Raw genomic sequence first — 18339 nt, forward strand, 5'->3', positions numbered from 1 at the left:
CCTGTAGTCCCAGCTACTCGGGAGGCTGAGGCAGGAGAATCACTTGGACCCAGGAGGTGGAGGTTGGAGTGAGTCAAGATCGCACCACTGCACTCCAGCCTGGGCGACAAAAGCAAAAACTCCATCTCTAAAACAAAAAACAAAACAAAAAAACCCCTGATCCGCTGCAAGGATGCCCCCAGCCTTCCTGTCGTTTTTCCCCTCTCTGGGTCACAGGTTTTGAAGTCAACCTGATTTCCCCCCTCATCTCCTAGTGCCCTGCTTCAGATTTGGGCAGGTCTTGCTGAACTGGAGTCCCAGAAGAGAGCCCACAGATACAGGAGGCTGTGTCCCAGGAAGGAGACATAGGCCCTTCCTTCTTGAGGCCCCAGGAGGGAGACAGGACACAGAGACATAGAACTCTCAGTGAACAGAGCAGAGGCCCTGAGAGCTGGGCAGTTAGAGAGGGCAGGAAGAGTGCAATTGGGCAATCAAGGCAAGCTTCTTGGAGGAAAGGGGCAGGGAAGGGTGGATGTCAGGGGAGATCAGTCTGCAGGCAGGCTCTGGAATAGGTACAGAGTGGTGAGGGATTCGAGTTGGATTCCAGTTTAAACATCCACAGAGCCTTTAGGCTTCAGTAGCTAGTCCAGGGGAGGGGGGTACATGGAGGGTGTCCCTATGGCCTTGTCACTAAGAAAGAACAGTTCGTGACTTATCCACTGCGTGTGAATTCAGCGAGATTGGGGAGGGAGGTTTCTTAGGGATAGGGCAGCCTCCACACTCCCATTGCTCCTCTACTCAGGGAAAGGGGGACGGTAGAAATGGCCTGCCTCTCCGGCCAGCACACGTACAGCCATCTCACCCCCACACGGCTCTTCCTCCACAGCCCCATTTTGGATTACACTTCACCTCCAGCCACTCCAGCCCTGGGCGCTAGTACTACAGCTCCTGGGGAAACGCCCCGGGGTGTTGGTGCCCGACTCGTCCCCCAGCCGTCTTCGGCTTCACGGGGTGGGGGAGGGACAGCCCTGACCCCATCTGCTCTCCTAGGCTGCCTAGCAGGCTCCTGTCGCCGCTCCCCGCCCCTTCTTCCAGAGTTCCATCCACTCCTGCCCCCACTCGACCAGAGTTCCTTCCACAGCAGTTCCTGGCCTGGGCGCTGTCCAGCTCCAGGCTGGGTGGTCGAGTCTTCCCTGGGCTCCGAGCAGAGGGAACTCCGCAGCCCGCCCCAGCCTTGTCCTGGGGCGCCTCTGTCCAAGTCGGTTTTCTCTTCCCTGGCCCCCACGCCTCCACCCTCCACTTCTACGGGATGCCACCTCCACGAAGGAGAAAGGAAAGGAAATACAAAGGCATACATTCCGTTTCTGTGGAATTTGCTCTTTATTTTGGGACCAGGGAAGGACCACACACAGCCCTCCAGCCCAGGGGGCGGGGGCACCGAGACGCGGGCGGAGGGCCGCACCCGAACCCTGCCCAGACGCCGCCGTCGGGAGGCAGAATCCGGGTTTCTGGGGTCGGGAGTGCGTATGCAAATGACGTGGGCGTGGTTGGCAGATCTCCCAGGAGGCCTCAGGGGTCCTCACCACAGGTCTGGGCCCTCCGACCTGCGGAAGCGAAGGGGAAGGAATTGGATCTGGGGAGGCGAGCCTGGGAGACGTCGTTAAGTGATGTTGCCAGGGTAGGGCCAGGCCGCGCTCTCGGATGCAGGATGTGTGGTAACGGGCGCTTTTACCGCGACCTGACGGGGCGGTCCTCGCCGTCGGGGAAGAACGTTTTGGAAAGAAGCGTGTCCGGGCCGTCTCTTTTCCCATACCTGGGGGCGGGGAAGGGAAGAGCGTGGTCAGATCTGGCCACGCCCCCAGGTGGAGCGGGGCCGCAGGGTGAGAGCCCCAGGGGTCCCGCTCCGCGCCTGCGCTCACCGCTGCCGGGTGACCAGGTTGAGGTAGTGGCGCAGGGAGGCGTAGTAGCGGTTCAGCTCCTCCGGCGAGGCGTCTTCGCGGGGAGCCTCGGGTTTGATGGGGTAGGCGTCGACCAGCGCCCCTAGGCAGACGAGCAGGGCCAGAAGCACTGTGGTCAAGGCGGGCCACGGCCTGCGCACGAACACCATCTGGGAAGGCGACATTGGGACGTGGGTCATTCCAAGCCTCGACCCTACACGGCGGGAGGCTGCGGCTGCCGTCGGGGCCGCGCTCCGACGCTCTCCCTGGGGCTGGTACCGGACCAAGGCTCAGCCACCGGGCTTGCTGTGTGTTCTTGGGCACTGCACCGTCTCCTGACTCAGTTTCCTCATGTCAGAGGAGCATAAGCCCTGCCTGCCTCCCCACCCCCACCCCCGCTGCTGGCCTCCTTCCCACCTCCGATGGCCCCCTCCAATCCAGTTTCCTACCACTCACCCCCAGCTTCCACCATCCCAGCCTCAGTTTCCCCACAAAACAGCCTGGGTTTCCCCAGGCTTGAGCCCCCAGCCACTCACAGCGATAGCTTGTGAAGCAGACGAGCAGGAGGTGGAAGGCGAGGGAAGTCCCAAGGGCTGCACTGCCGCAGGTCAAGCTGAGGCCTCCTCTGCTCAGCGCTTTCCTTGTGGGGCTTATATCCCCGCCTGGAAAGGGAGGGGGAGTCCCAGGGGGAGGGGGAGCCAGCAGGGGGTGGGCCCTTCTTCCTCCCTCCTTCCACCCTCGCCAGATCGCTGAGCTTATACCCAGCCAGTGCGTGATGTCTCCACCTCGCAGGAGCTGAGGGGGCAGTTGCCATGCTCAGATTCGTGGTCTCACTGGATGGGGTACCCAGCCTGAACCCCATGTTCACCCCACAGCCCCCCAGTGGCAGGTCTAGCCTCCTGAGGAAGTGAAGCGGTTGGATCTAGACTCCTGGGGCAGCCCCTAGGACCAGGGTTGAGATTCTGTCTTCCCTAGCCTGTCCGTGGATGGGAGTTGGGGGTGGGAGGGTGGACACATTCCCTCCAGTCCGTGGGATGTGTGACCACTCTTTCCAAAAGACAACCCTTTTCAGCCTCTGTTCAGTAATACCTTGGAGAAGGGCTGAGGAATGACAGGACCTTTTGGGGAAAGTCTTTCTCCTGGAGGCAGGGTGGGAGCACCTGACCTTGGCTCCTGACCTGCAGTTTATGGTGTCTTGGGGAGAGGCCTCTCTGAACACTCCATTATGTCCTCTCTCTATTAAAGAGTTGGAAAAGAGGCAGGAGGAGGCAGAAACCAATCTCCCCGCCAGAAGCAGCTGAGTCGGCCACCTGTGTATCCAGACTGGCACACACAGACCCCAGTCCAGCCATGTGTGGTATAGAGCCCCCTCCCAAGGCAGAGTGTCTCCACCCCTATGCAGGTGTCATTCAGAGCACTGGTGTCTTCTGGGCCTGAGTGATGCCAAGGCTTCCCAGGCACATGCCACTGTCCCCAGCCCATGGCAGTCTCCACTGGGCTCTAAGCCCAGATCCTTTGAAGGAAAGGACTCGTGTTTATTAAGCACCTACTATGCACTAGGTAGTGCATAATTTCGGGCATCACAAGACGATGAGCTGAGTTTATCTCCATTTTCCAGATGAGGAAACTGAAGCCCTGGGAGGTGATGGAGCAGCCAAGCTCACCCACAATTCAAACAGGAAAAGCAGGGTGAGGCAGAACCCAGGAAGAGGACCTCTCAATTGTGAGGGGCAGAAAGGCTCAGCACCTGGAGTAGCCATTGGGGCGCCAGAGGCAGGCCTGGGAGCAGGGACCCGAAGACTAAGTCTAGGGCCCACACCCACTCTGAGAGGCGGAGTAGGGGAAGGACCTTCAGACTGCCAACCCCCTCAAACCCACCTGCCCAGGAGGAGAAAGGGCTGTGGGAAGGTCTCCCCATAAAGCCCTTCCAGCTTCCTCTCCCTGGCCTCGCCAGACCTCCAGTACTTCCAGATGTCCCATCGGCCCATAGGGACTGATGGGGCCAACTTGTCCAGGCCCTTGGTTCTGAGCCAGCCCCTCCAGCCCCAGGACAGATGGCTGTGGGCGCTATTTTTAGAGCTCTCCTGAGATGGGGAGTTCAGGGCTCTCTGTCACCATTTTATGGGTTCAATCACCTGCATTCTCCGGAAATGGCTCCTTATCAGCCAGTCAGGCCCCATGGGACTCCACATCCCAGGAAACACCAGGGTGCCCTGCTGAGCATGGGGGTGGAAGAGGACACCAGGACAAGGGGACATAGATCCTGCCCTTGGAGGGAGGAGAAAAATCATTCTTCTTAGGGAGCCCTCATCCAGGGGGCAAGACACACCCCTGCCCTTCAAGAACCCCAGTCTCAAAGGAGAGATATGGCCATGTCATAGGGGAGCCCCAGTATGAGCGGTTCCCAGAACAGATACAGAGAGACAGAGACAGCCTTTGTCCTGTTTGGAGGGGAGACAGCAGAAATCAAATAATTCCATTCCTCCATGGAAAGACAAAAGACAGGTGCTCACCCTAGGATGGAGGGAGCAGTGGGGGCTGGTTAGGACATCTGTGATCCCAGGGATCAGGGCCTAGAGAAGGACCCTGCAGGCTAACGGGGGCAAGGATACCAGAGAGTAGGGGGCTATTTGCTCTTCTGACCCTGCGGCGGCACTAACCATGGTGCTGGTAGGGGATTTCTAGTGCACCGATTCTGGACAGAGACGAAGGAAACTGTGAGATGGCCATGGGGAATCTGACATCCCTGGAACCCTGTCATGTCTTGGGGAATGTGGAGTCCAAGGACAGATGGGAAGAGAGGAGAGACACTGTAGAAGCTAGAGGGCATGGGGTGGCCTGAATTCGGGCTACAACCTCTGAAGAAGTCACTTCCTCATTTATAGCCAAAGTAAATGGGCCCCTAGGTGGTCTCAGTGTGGACCAGGAGCCAGCCGCACATCCCCGCAAACCCTCTCTATCCCTCATACCCCCACCCTCCAATCTCACTCCCCAATTACAGGGCAAGCTGATTGGTTCATTAATCACCGCCTCCTCATCGAAGAGCTTATTAACTTGTTGATTAGCGGGGAAAATGTCTCAGCCCTCGATCAATGGGCTCAGCCACCCCCCGATCCACACACCCACACCCATCATTGCTGCATGACTCAGTGGCCATGAGACATGTCTAGGGTGTGAGGGGGGAAACTTCAGAAACAATTGTTTTTGTAGAAGTGAGACCAGGACCTGCCTCCGGTTTGTCCTTGAAGGGTGGGGGACAGAATCAAAGGGGAGGGGACAGAATCAGAATGGTCCCCATTCTGAGAGCACCTGGCAAGGCCACCCCAAGTCAGGGAGACCATGGACCTGGACCCCAGCCAACAATTCTCCTTGTCCAGTGGGCTCAAGGGCCACTCATCAAGATGGTGTGGCCTCTGCCATTCATCCCCAGAGGCTTAGAATTCTGTACCCCATCACCCACCTGCCTGTACCCACTCCCCACACACAAGGCCTCACTTTGATCACCATGCACTGTGTGGCACTGCTCCACTGCTTTCCACCCTCAGGCATTTCCTCATGCCCAGGGTCCTAGAGATAGCAGGTTGTCATACAGCAAGTGTAATTCAGGCCAGGCGTGGTGCTCACGCCTGTAATCCCAGCACTTTGGGAGGCCAAGGTGAGTGGATCACGAGGTCAGGAGTTCAAGACCAGCCTGGCCAACATGGTGAAACCCCATCTGTACTACAAATACAAAAATTAGCCAAGCGTCGTGGCGCATGCCTGTAGTCCCAGCTACTCTGGAGGCTGAAGCAGGAAAATTGCTTGAATCCAGGAGGCAGAGGTTGCAGTGAGCCAAGATCGCGCCACTGTACTCCAGCCTGAGCGACAGAGTGAAACTGTCTCCAAAAAAAAAAAAAAAAAAAAGTAATTCAATCCTCATTCAACAAGCACTTAAGTCCCTGCTGTGTGCCAGGCACTGATCTAGGCACTGGGATAGAGTAGTGAACAAACAGGCAAAATCCTTGCCCTTATAGAGCTCACATTCTAGTGACAGGAAATAGAAAATAAATAAATAAGCATGGAGGCTGGGTGCGGTGGCTCACGCCTGTAATCCCAGCACTTTGGGAGGCCAAGGCAGGTGGATCATCTGAGGCCAGGAGTTCAAGACCAGCCTGGTCAACATGGTGAAACCCCGTCTCTACTAAAACTACAAAAATTAGCCAAGCGCAGTGGCGGGCGCCTGTAATCCAGCTACTTAGGAGGCTATGGCATGAGAATCACTTGAATCCAGGAGGCAGAGGTTGCAGTGAGCCGAGATGGTGCCACTGCACTCCAGCCTTGGTGACAGAGTGAGAATCTGTCTCAAATAAATGAATAAATACATAAATAAATAAATAAGCATGGAATATGTCTGATAAGTGCTATAGAGAAAAATCAGAGCCGGGTGTAGTGGCTCATGTCTTTCCCAGTGCGCTGGGAGACCACGTTGGAGGATCGCTCACTTGAGCCCAGGAAGGAAGTGAGGAAGCAAACCATGAAGCTACCTTGAGAAGAGCAGGGGGTGGGTTTAGGAAACAGCGATGCCAAGAAGTAAGGGATTTTCACTTTTTATGGTAGGAGCTCTCCTAGGAGCTCTCCCTCTTACCTGAAGCTTCTGCAAAACACAGTAACAGATACTTGTGGTGTGCTGCGCGCCCAAGGCTCAGGCTTCGCTCTAGGACAGAGGTAGGCAAACTCTGTAAAGGAGCAGATAGTAAATATTTTAGGCTTTGTGGTCCATAGAGTTTCTGTTGACACCGTTAGGTTCATCCACCGTAGCTTGAAAGCAGCCACTGAATACACCAAAAAAAAAAAAAAAAAAAAAAGAATGGGCATGGTAGTGCTTCAGTAAATCTTTACTTACAGACATTAAAGTTTGAATTTTATATAATTTTCATGTCATAAAATTTTTTTAGTTTATTTCAACTGTTTACAGATTCAACCACTTTAAAAGCCATTCTTTTTATTATTATTGAGCTCAAGGGATCCTTCGGCCTCAGCCACCCAAAATGCTGAGATTATAGGTGTGAGTCACTGTGCCTGACCTAAAAGGCATTTTTTTTTTTTTTGAGACGGAGTCTTACTGTGTCACCCAGGCTGGAGTGCAGCAGCATGATCTCAGCTCACTGCAACCTCTGCCTTCCTTCAAGAGATTCTCCTGCCTCAACCTCCCAAGTAGCTGGAATTACAGGCACATGCCACCACGCCTGGCTAATTTTTGTATTTTTAGTAGAGATGGGGTTTCACCATGTTGGCCAGGCTGGTCTCGAACTCCCAGCCTCAAGTGATCCGCCTGCCTTGGCCTCCCAAAGTGCTGGGATTACGAGTGTGAGCCACCACACCCGGCCCCTAAAAGGCATTTTAACCCATAGAATGTACAAAAACAGGCCCACAGGGCCGTAGTTTGCTGACCCCTGGTCTAGAAAAGCAAGAATTCAGCTACCTCTGGGTTGAGTTGCCTTTTGGTTGGATGTGTCCCTAGCCTGTTTATGCCAGGTGTATTTGTCATTGTAATCATATAATTGAATTAAATATTATATAAACTGATGAAATATGAGTGCATAAAGAATTGTTTCCTTGCAAACTACGTTAAATGCTTTGGAAGTAATACACAAAGAGATTTGCTGACATGTTGAATTAGATGTGAAAGATAAACCATTAAGGGAAAATCCTAAAAATCTAGAAGTGTGCTACATCAGATTGCTTCACAAGTGTCTTTAAGTTTAAAGAAACTGGAAATAACAGGTGACAAATTATAGGATTGTGGGTGTGATTTATGCAAGAAAGTCAAAGGGTAATTTGAGTCAAGACACCCAAAGAAAAATTCGTGCCTCAATGTGAATTTTGTGTTTGAAATCAAAACAAAGTGACTAAGACCTGTATGTGTCTTTATGATTGCCCATTTAAGCTGACTTTTTCAAAACACTGGTCAATGACTCAGACCTGTTTATATCAAAACAAGGGCTTCTCTAGTACTTTATATATTTCCAATATAGTTTGAATGTTTAAAGGGTATTTCTATTTAATGGCTTAAATAACAACCAAAGAATTTTTAAAAACCAATAAAAATAGGCTGGGTGCAGTGGCTCATGCCTGTAATCCCCACACTTTGGGAGACCAAGGCGGGCGGATCACCTGAAGCCAGGAGTTTGAGACCAGCCTGGCCATGTCGAAACCCTGTCTGTACTAAAAATACAAAAATTAGCTGGGTATGGTGATGCATGCCTATAATCCCAGCTACTTGCGAGACTGAGGCAGGAGAATCACTTGAACCTGGGAGGCGGAGATTGTAATGAGCCAAGATCGCTCCACAGCGCTCCAGCCTGGGTGACAGAGCGAGACTACGTCTCAAAAAAGAAAAAAAATAAAAATAAAAATAAAATGCTGGTGTGTGTTGCGAAGCCTGAAATTAGATACTGTGAGGGTCCCTGGGCGCCAGCCCCTGTGAGTTCTGCGCACATCCCCTCCACATGAATGCTCCTGTTTGAATCCAAAACTTTTTTAAGGGCCCAACAGTCTCAAGAGGCCTGTGCTGCAGGTGCAGAAACTCAAGTCCTGAAAGAGGTATGGATTCAGGGAGAAACAGTTCTGACCTAGGTCAGACACAGTCAGCTCCCTGATTCACCAGGCCCTTATGGACTTGTGTCTTTGTGGCTCCTGGCATCTGATGTGATACTGGCATGTGTGTGCTCCTAGGTTATTGAATCAGTCAGTCAACATGTGAACATATTAGCTAAGATATTCATGCACCCCCCCTTAATAGATACCAAATAGCGGTAGCTTAAATATCATAGATGTTTATTTCTCTCTTGTATAAGAAACCAAGCTGGTAGCCAGGGGATAGGGTGCCTCTGATCTACAAGGAGCCCAAACACCATCTATCTTGTTACTCCAAGTTATGCACCCATCTACATGGTTTAAGAATGTTTGGCCGGGCGCGGTAGCTCACACCTGTAATCCCAGCACTTTGGGAGGCCAAGGCGGGTGGGTCACCTGAGATCAGGAGTTCTAGACCAGCCTGGCCAACATGGTGAAACCCCATCTCTACTAAAAATGCAAAAATTAGCCAGGCATGGTGGCAGGTGCCTGTAATCCCAGCTACTCAGGTGGGCCGAGGCAGGAGAATCACTTGAACTGGGAGGCGGAGGTTGCAATGAACTGAGGCACTCCAGCCCGAGGGACGAGAGTGAGACTTTGTCTCAAAAAAAAAAAAAAAAAAAAAAACAATATTCATTAGGCCAGACGCAGTGGCTCACGCCTGTAATCCCAGCACTTTGGGAGGCCAAGGTGGTGGATCACCGAGGTCAGGAGTTGGAGACCAGCCTGGCCAACATGGTGAAACCCCGTCTCTACCAAAAATACAAAAAAATTAGTCAGGCATGGTGGCGGGTGCCTGTAATCCCAGCTACTCAGGAGACTGAGGCAGCAGAATTGCTTGAACCCAGGAGGCGGGGATTGCAGTGAGCTGAGATCATGCCACTGCACTCCAACCTGGGTGATAGAGTAAGACTCCGTCGCAAAAAAAAAAAAAACGGTGTTCATTACCCCACATTCACATTCCAGGCCACCGGGATGAGAAACAAGGAAGTTAAGAGTTTGGTATGGTAGAGGTCAGGTTCCTGGCCCACACCTGTAATCTCAGCACTTTGGGAGGCTGAGGCAGGAGGACACTTGAGCCCAGGAATTTGAGACCAGCCTGGGCAACATAACAGGATCCTGTCTCTACCCAAACAATAAAAAATAAATTAGCCTGGTATGGTGGTGCATGCCTGTAGTCACAGCTACTTGGGAGGCTGAGGTGGGAGGATCGCTTGAGCCTGAGGAGTCAGAGCTGCAGTGAGTTGTGATTGCTCCACTGCACTCCAGCCTGGGCAACAGAGCAAAACCCCATCTCAAAAAAAAAAACAAACAAGCAAACCAAAAAAGCAAAGTCGGGGAGGAGGGAAAGTATCAGGAAGAATAGCTAATGGCTGCTGGGCTTAATACCTAGGTGATGGGATGATTTGTGCAGCAAACCACCATGGCACATATTTACCTATGTAACAAACCTGCACATCCTGTACATGTACCCCTCAATTTAAAAGTTGGAAATAAAGAGTATGATGAGGAAGCTGCATTGCTTCCTGTGCTCCTGTCCCATTGGCCAGAACTTAGTCACGTGGCCATGCCTAGCTAGAAGGCCCTTGGCTCTGTTTTGCTCCATTTTCTTTTTCTTTTTACTTTTTTTGAGATGGAGTCTCGCTCTGTCACCCAAGCTGGAGTGCAGTGGCGCAATCTCAGCTCACTGCAACCTCCGCCTCCTGGGTTCAAGTGATTCTTGTGCCTCAGCCTCCCGAGTAGCTGGGATTACAGGAGTGCGCCACCACACCCGGCTAAGTTTTGTATTTTTAGTAGAGACAGGGTTTCCCCCATGTTGGCCAGGCTGGTCTTGAACTCCTGACCTCAGCCTCCCAAAGTGCTGAGATTATAGGCGTGAGCCACCGTGCCCGGCCTGTTTTATTCCATTTTCCCCAACCCTCATGCCAGCCCAATTTCTGTCTTCTCTGCCTCCAAACTCAGCTATCTCTTACCACATTGAAAGTGGCCTTCACCTCAGCATGCATCCTCCTCCTCCCTCAATCCCCTGCCTGGAAGTGGGAGCCTGTCACCCTACCTCACGCATCTTTTCCTTTCACTCTTTCCCATCAGTCTTAGGAAAGAGACCATAAATTGTTCCCCAGTACCTATTTTCCCCTTCTTCTCTTACAATAGAGTTTAGCTGAGTATATGGCTTCCCAGCTAATCACTACATTTCCCAGTCTCCCTTGCAGCCAAGTGACTTCTTGTGACTAAGTTCCGGCCAATGGATGTGAGCAAGAGTGATGTGTGCCACTCTCAAAATGTGCTATTAGAAGGAATGGGGGTACCCTCTCACTCCTCTATTTCCCCCCTTCCATGACCCTTAATGCAATGCCAAATGGAAATGTAAAAATGAGCCATTTTCCAGCTTTATTGAGGTATCATTAACCAATAAAATTGTATATACTTAAAGTGTACAATGTGATGATTTGATATATGTATACATTGTAAAATGATTACTGCAACCAAATTAACACATCCATCACCTCACATTGTTACTTTTTCTTATGTGAGAATGCTTAAGATCTACACTCTATAGTACAGTATTATTAACTATTAACTATAGTCACCATGCTGTACAAAAAATGAGCATTCTTGACCACGTGAATGAAGGAATCTTTTAGTCACAGGGGTGCCCTCAGACTGCCGGGACCAATTTGCCTGCATCACGTTGGAAGTGCCTGGGGCTTCCCCATTCCCCAGGGGCGGGTTTAACCAATGACTGATGAATTTAGGGGCATAAACACTTCAGTTTGCCTCTGATTTGTATGACTTGAGATGTAGTCAACAGGTGTTACCTGGAAAGTGCAATGGGCATTTTTTGGGGGGCGGCACACAGCTGCTGAAACAGCCATCACAGTAGCAGGCGAGGGCAAGGGCACCAATGCCCTCGTTCAAGTCTAAAGGGCCTGGAGAAGTTCTTGTCCCCTGAGCTCTCAGCACTGACCCGCCAGGGCTCCCTTATGGTACTGAACCCACAGATAAGCCACTAAGAGCAGGATCAAAATTAAGCAGCACAGAGACAAGAAAAGGGGGAGAAAGAGATCCAGATAAAAAGGGGAGAGAGGAACAGAGCCAGAAAAAGCTCAGACCAAAGCCACCGTCATTTTCACATTACGTGAAAACAATAAAAGGAAGAGATTTGTGAAGTTAGAAAAACTCTCTGGTGAAGCCTCCTTCTGAAAATTCAGGAAAATTAGTTTCACATAAAAATTAGCAATGTAAAAGTATTAAGCTCAAATCCCATACAAAACTATTATGAGAAAAATAGCCCTGAGCTGGGCACGGTGGCTCATCCCTGTAATCCCAGCACTTTGGGAGGCTGAGGCAGGCGGATCACTTGAAGTCAGGAGTTCTAGACTACTCTGGCCAACATGGTGAAACCTCGTCTCTACTAAAAATACAAAAATTATCCAGGCGTGGTAGCACACACCTGTAATCCCAGCTACTCAGGAGGCTGAGACAGGAGAATCACTTGAACCCAGGAGGCGGAGGTTACAGCGAGCTGAGATCATGCCATTGCACTCCAGCCTGGGCAGCAGAGTGAAACTCCATCTCAAAAAAAAAAAAAAAGAAAGAAAGAAGGAAGAGAAGGAAGGGAAGGAAGGAAGGAAGGAAGGAAAAGAAAGAAAGAAAGAAAGAAAGAAAGAAAGAAAGAAAGAAAGAAAGAAAGAAAGAGAAAGAAAGAAAAGAGAGAACAGAGAGAAAAGAAAGAAAAAGAGAAAAATAACCCTGACCAGGTGCAGTGGCTCACGCCTGTAATCCCCCAACACTTTGGGAAGCCGAGGTGGGTGGATCGCTTGAGCCCAGGAGTTCGAGACTAGACTGGGCAACATAAAGAGACCCTATTTCTACCAAAAATACAAAAAAAAAAATTCTGATATGGATGGTCAAAATAGGAAAAAAATACAAAAAATAGCTGAATATGATGGCATGCACTTTTAGTCCCACTACTTAGAAGGCTGTGGTGGGAGGATTGCTTGAGCCGAGATCAAGGCTGCAGTGAGCTGTGAACGTGCCACTGCACTCCAGCCTGGTGACAGAGAGAGACCCTGTCTCTATAAAGAAAGTTATGTTATATTACCATCATTTTTCTTTCTTTCTTTTTTTTGGGGCAGTGTGAGGGGACAGGGTCTTGCTCTGCCATCCGGGCTGGAGTGCAATGGTGCAATCAGCCTCCTGAGCAGCTGGGACTACAGGTGCATACCACCACATCTAGCTAATTTTAATAGTGTTTTATTCTTTTATTTTTGTAGAAATAGAGTCTCAATATGTTGCCCAGGCTGGTCTAAATTTCTTGGGCTAAAGCAATCCTCTCACCTCTACCTCCCAGCTATTCTGTCCTTCAAATGCATAATCAAACTATTATCAGCATGCAAGATCTCAGGGAATATTATGCCCATAAGCTTTTCCTGAGGAATCTACTAGAGAATAAACTTCAGACAACCAAAATGACTAGAAAAACATTGACATAAGGCCTGGTGATGAGCATTAAGTTCAGTTATGTAGAACTAATGCTGGCTGGATGCGGTGGCTGACGCCTGTAACCCCAGCACTTTGGGAGGCCAAGGCAGGCGGATCACCTGAGGTCGGGAGTTTGAGACCAGCCTGACCAACATGGAGAAACCCCGTCTCTACTAAAAATACAAAATTAGCCAGGCATGGTGGCGCATGCCTGTAATCCCAGCTACTTGAGAGGATGAGGCAGGAGAATCGCTTGAAAATTAGCTGTAATCCCAGCTACTCAGGAGGCTGAGGCAGGAGAATCGCTTGAACCCGGGAGGCGGAGTTTACGGTGGGCCGAGATTGTGCCATTGCACTCCAGTCTGGGCAACAAGAGTGAAAGTCCGTCTCAAAAGAAAAAAAAAATCAACTGTTTTCCGTAATAACTGGTGGTGCCAGTCCGTATTTATTCTGAGACGTCTGTGTAATATAGATCAAACAAATGCTATTCTAAAATAAATGGGATTTTTAATGCTACCATCTCCTGTGTCCTTGAGAACAAGAATTTACAATGTGGAAGAAAGAGGACACAGATGTCATATAGAAGAGGTTAAATAAACACCCGTCAGTCCTGACTTTGATTTGGAAATCTCTGTTTACAGAAAAGGGCTAGAAACAATGTTGAAACCAATAGCAATGAACATCCTTAGCATCCAGACTAGTCTTTTTTTTCTTTCCTTTTCTTTTCTCTTTTTTTTTCTTCCAGGTTTATTCTGGAATAATGGACAAATAAAAATTGTATATATGGCCAGGCATAGTGGCTCACACCTGTAATCCCAGCACTTTGGGAAGCCGAGGAGGGTGGATCACTTGAGGTCAGGAGTTCAAGACCAGCATGGCCAACATGGTGAAACCCCATCTCTACTAAAAATACAAAAATTAGCTGAGCATGGTGGCAGGTGCCTATAATCCCAGCTACTCAGGAGGCGGAGACAGCAGAATCATTTGAACCCAGGAAGCAGAGGTTGCAGTGAGCCGAGATCATGCCATTGCACTCCAGCCTGGGCGACGGAGTGAGACTCCGTATCAAAAAAAAAAAAAAATTGTATATATTTGGCCAGGCATGGTGACTCACACCTGTAATCTCAGCACTTTGGGAGGCCAAGGCAGGCGGATCACTTGAGGTCAGGAGTTCGAGACCAGCCTGGCCAACATGGTGAAACCCCGTCTGTACCCAAAATACAAAGTTGCCAGGCATGGTGGTGTGTGCCTGTAATCCCAGCTACTTGGAAGGTTGAGACAGGAAAATTCCTTGAACCCGGGAGGCGGAGGTTTCAGTGAGCCGAGATCATGCCACCACACTCCAGCCTGGGCAACAGAGTGAGAATCCATCTCACAAAAAAAAAAAAAAAAAAAAAAAAAAAAGAGAGAGAAACAAGTAAAATTATATTTTTTTCTAGCCATTGTAAGTACAAAACAAAAAATGATTTTTTCCTGGCATTTCCTGTTTCTGCCTATTTACATTGGTGCTCCCCAAGATGAGATGCTTGGCTCTCTTTTCTTTTTTCTTCTTCACTGTAGGGTTGTCATCTACCCCCAAGATTTTAATCACCCCCAAAATCCCTGTAATTTGCTCCTCTGCCGAGTTCCCTATCCACATAGTCCACTGTTTCTAGACATATCCCCATGGATATCTCTCAGTCAGCTTAAAGTCAATGTAGCCTAAATAGCAAAAATAATAAATCAATCTTTCTTAAGTGCCTACACTGTGCCAAGTACTATGCCAGGTACGTCTCACATATTATTTTAGTCTTCACAACACATAATGTACCATCATTAGCCTGGTTTTACAGAATATGAAACTGACACAGAGAGAGGTCAAGTCAGTAGCTCACCCTTATCTTAGCTTGTTATCTGAATTCCCAAATCTCCAGGGACCTCCAGCTCCATGAATGGTATCTCCATCTCTTCAGGTGACTGAGTTGGAAATCTTGACTTCACTCCACCAATGACCTGAGTCATTCTTAGAAAGTCTGAAGAAGGAGCATGCAGTTCTGAGGGTGGCAGCAGGTCCAGGAATTGGAATGTGACCACAGGGGAATTCCTCATAAAGGGCTGAACTTGCCTGAATGAGTTTCCTCTGGAATACAAGGAAGTCATATGAAATCGCAGTTTAGGCAGTGCATTCAAGAGTACATGGCAGACATCGTTTCGTGTTAATAACTATATCCTGCCCTTTACCCCAACACTCCCAATCCTCCTTATCTGCCCTGTTTATTCCCCAGCACTTAGCACTTTCTAGCATTCTATGTAATTGACTTATTTGTATGCTTGTTGTCTGACTACTAGAATGGAGGCTCCATGAGAGCAGAGGTTTTTGTCTGTTTCTTCACTGATATATCCCCAGTGACTAGAATAATGTGTGATACATGGTGGTGGCTCAAGTACACTTGCTGAATGAATGGATCCACATCCTCACTGTCCATGGCTGCATGGTTTACACACAGGCACATACATAAGCATGTATACACACATACACACACATGCACATACATGCATATGTCTTGAAGACAGAAGGCTATTCCTATCCCACCACAGTCCAGATCTTCATCAAAGAAGAAAGCAAAAGGCCAGACGCGGTGGCTCACACCTCTAATCCTAGCACTTTGGGAGGCCAAGGTGGGTGGATCACCTGAGGTCTGGAGTTCGAGACCAGCCTGGCCAACATGGTGAAAATCTGTCTCTACTAAAAATACAAAAATTAGCTGGGCGTGGTGGCACGTGCCTATAATCCCAGCTACTCGGGAGGCTGAGGCAGGAGAATCACCAGAACCTGGGAGGCGGAGGCTGCAATGAGCTGAGATCACACCACTGCACTCCAGCCTGGATGACAGAGTGAGACTCTGTCTAAAAAAAGAAGAAGAAGAAGAAAGCAATTCCCTAAACACTATGCACTCTCCCTTCACACACTGTGCAGGTTAGAGGGAGTGAGATATCAGGGCCTGTCCACAGCAGGCGAGCCCCATACCTCACCCCACAGAGCTGTCACATTCAACTCCCTCTGAAGCTGTGGAACTTGCAGCTCAGACCACAAACTCTGGGGCTAGGATGACTGGGTTGGCCACTGACTAGCTGTGTGATCTTAGGAAAATTACTTAACCTCTAAGGGCCTCAGTTTTGTCATCGGCCACATGTATATAACAATAGCATCTACTTCATATGGTTGTGATGGTTTAAAAAGCTATTAGGTTCCAGATGAGATGGAGTAAGCAGCCTCCACCCTGTCTCTCCTGCTGAATGCTGCTGTGAAACATGGACAGACACGCACGGGGCAGCTCTCTGAAGAGTGTGAAAGTAAACACAGCGGGGAAACGGGGGAAGAAAGCCAGAATTCAACGTTCCACTGAGCTGAAATGAGTTTCTCATTTTTCCTCTGATATTCCCCAGCCTCGATACAAGACAGCGCCAAATCCAGAATGGGCACTGGGGCTACGAGAGGGATCAACAGGAGAAATGCTCGTTCTGCCTCGAGGAGTGGAAAGGGAAGGTCTAGCACTGAGAGAGAGAAAAGGAACTCCATTTTTCTCTTCTTCATTCTCCCGTGCCCCAGCCCCGAGACAATTCCATGGGAGTAGCAGTGGTGACAGTAGTATCAGTGGCTGCAGGGTCCACAGACAACCAAATCTTTCCCTCTCCGATCAAGAGTTGTGGGCCAGGGGCTGTGGATCATGTCTGTAATCCCAGCACTATGGGAGGCCGAGGTGGATCACTTGCGGGCAGGAGTAAGACACCAGCCTGGGCGTGTATGTGTGTGTGTTTATTTTTAAAAACAGTTGTAGTCCCAAGAAGGAGAACCCCTATAGCTTTCTTCTCTCTGTGTCCTCCTGCCACCTGGCCCTGAACACGGACACAATCATAGGAAGTGTGCAGTAGAGCGGGATAACTAAAGAAGAAATAACACTGATTTTACACAATCTCTTCCAGAAAATAGAACAAGAGAAAATACTCCTTCGTTCATTTTATGAGGGCAACATTACCCTGAGACCAAAATGAAACAAAGATATTGTAAGAAAAAAAAACTACAGATCAATATCTCTCATGGACATATATGTAAAAATCTTCAACAAAATATTAGCTGGCCAGGCGCGGTGGCTCATGCCTACAATCCCAGCATTTTGGGAGACTGAGGCAGATGGATCACTTGAGGTCAGGAGTTCGAGAGCAGCCTGGCCAATGTGGTGAAACTCTGTCTCTACTAAAAATACAAAAATTAGCCAGGTGTGGTAGTGTGCACCTGTGGTCCCAGCTACTCGGGAGGCTGAGGCAGGAGAATTGCTTGAACCCAGGAGGCAGACGTTGCAGTGAGCCAAGATTGTGCCACTGCACTCCAGCCTGGGCAGCAGAGTGTGACTCCATCTCTAAATAAATAAATAAGCCGAGCTCAGTGGCTCAAGCCTGTAATCCCAGCACTTTGGGAGGCCAAGGCGGGTGGATCGCCTGAGGTCAGGAGTTTGAGATCAGCTTGACCAATATGGTGAAACCCTGTCTCTACTAAAAATATAAAAATTAGCCAGGCATGGGGGCATGCGCCTGTAGTCCCAGCTACTCAGGTGGCTGAGACAGGAAAATGCCTTGAACCTGGGAGGCAGAGGCTGCAGTGAGCCAAGATCGTGCCACTGCACTCCAGTCTGGGCGATAGGGTGTGACTGCATCTCAAAAAGAAAAAAATATTAGACAACTGAACTCAGGAATATATAACAAAAAAAAATGTATATGTTACAATCAGGTGGGATTTATCCTGACAATGCAAGGCTGGTTCAATATTCAAAAATCAATCACTTGGCCAGGTGCAGTGGCTCACACCTGTAATCCCAGCACTTTGGGAGGCCGAGGCGGGTGGATCACTTGAGGTCAGGAGTTCTAGACCAGCCTAATCAACATGGTGAAACCCTGTCTCTACTAAAAATACAAAAATTAGCTGGGCCGTGGTGGCGGGCACCTGTAATCCCAGCTACTCCAGAGGCTGAGGCAGAAGAATCGCTTGAACCCAGGAGCAGAGGTTGCAGTAAGCCAAGATCTCACTACTGCACTCCAGCCTGGGTGATAGAGCAAGACTCTGTCTCAAAAAAAAAAAAAAAAAAAGCAAATGCTCATATTGATTGATAAAGAAAAACCATTTGACAAAAATTCAAAATCCACTCACAATTAAAAAACAATACTCTTAGGCCAGGCTGGGTATCTCACGCCTATAATTCCAATGCCTTGGGAGGCTAAGTCAAGAGGTAGGTATTGCTTGAAGCCAGGAGTTCAAGACCAGCCTGGGCAACATAGTAAGACCCTGTCT

The 18339-nt window shown here is 49.4% G+C and overlaps 1 protein-coding gene across 3 annotated transcripts in view, besides 1 other annotated feature; it reads right to left on the bottom strand.

Moving 5' to 3' along the window:
* PYY (peptide YY) overlaps window positions 1336–18339 on the bottom strand; it is a 51713-nt gene continuing 34709 nt past the window's right edge. Inside the window, exons 2-7 of one of the 3 annotated variants that reach the window (NM_004160.6) lie at window positions 14891–15135; window positions 6541–6631; window positions 2453–2578; window positions 1899–2086; window positions 1712–1792; window positions 1336–1583 (exon numbers count right to left, since the gene is read on the bottom strand). In NM_004160.6, coding sequence (NP_004151.4) covers window positions 1559–1583; window positions 1712–1792; window positions 1899–2086 — 294 coding nt within the window. In that variant the 5' untranslated portion in view covers window positions 2453–2578; window positions 6541–6631; window positions 14891–15135 and the 3' untranslated portion in view covers window positions 1336–1558. Of the gene's footprint in view, window positions 1793–1898; window positions 2087–2452; window positions 2579–6540; window positions 6632–14890; window positions 15136–18339 lie in introns of those variants that run through there. The other 2 variants (NM_001394028.1, NM_001394029.1) reach the window with 2 other exon arrangements.
* Window positions 1578–2081: an enhancer, noted in NCBI's record as "H3K4me1 hESC enhancer chr17:42030343-42030846 (GRCh37/hg19 assembly coordinates)". NCBI's record gives its function as "activates a minimal SCP1, AML or CMV promoter by ChIP-STARR-seq in naive H9 embryonic stem cells {active_cell/tissue: H9 hESC(naive)}" and the evidence as "EXISTENCE:reporter gene assay evidence [ECO:0000049][PMID:30033119]".

This window comes from Homo sapiens, chromosome 17, assembly GCF_000001405.40.
Source record: "Homo sapiens chromosome 17, GRCh38.p14 Primary Assembly".
Classification (NCBI taxonomy): Eukaryota; Metazoa; Chordata; class Mammalia; order Primates; family Hominidae; genus Homo; species Homo sapiens.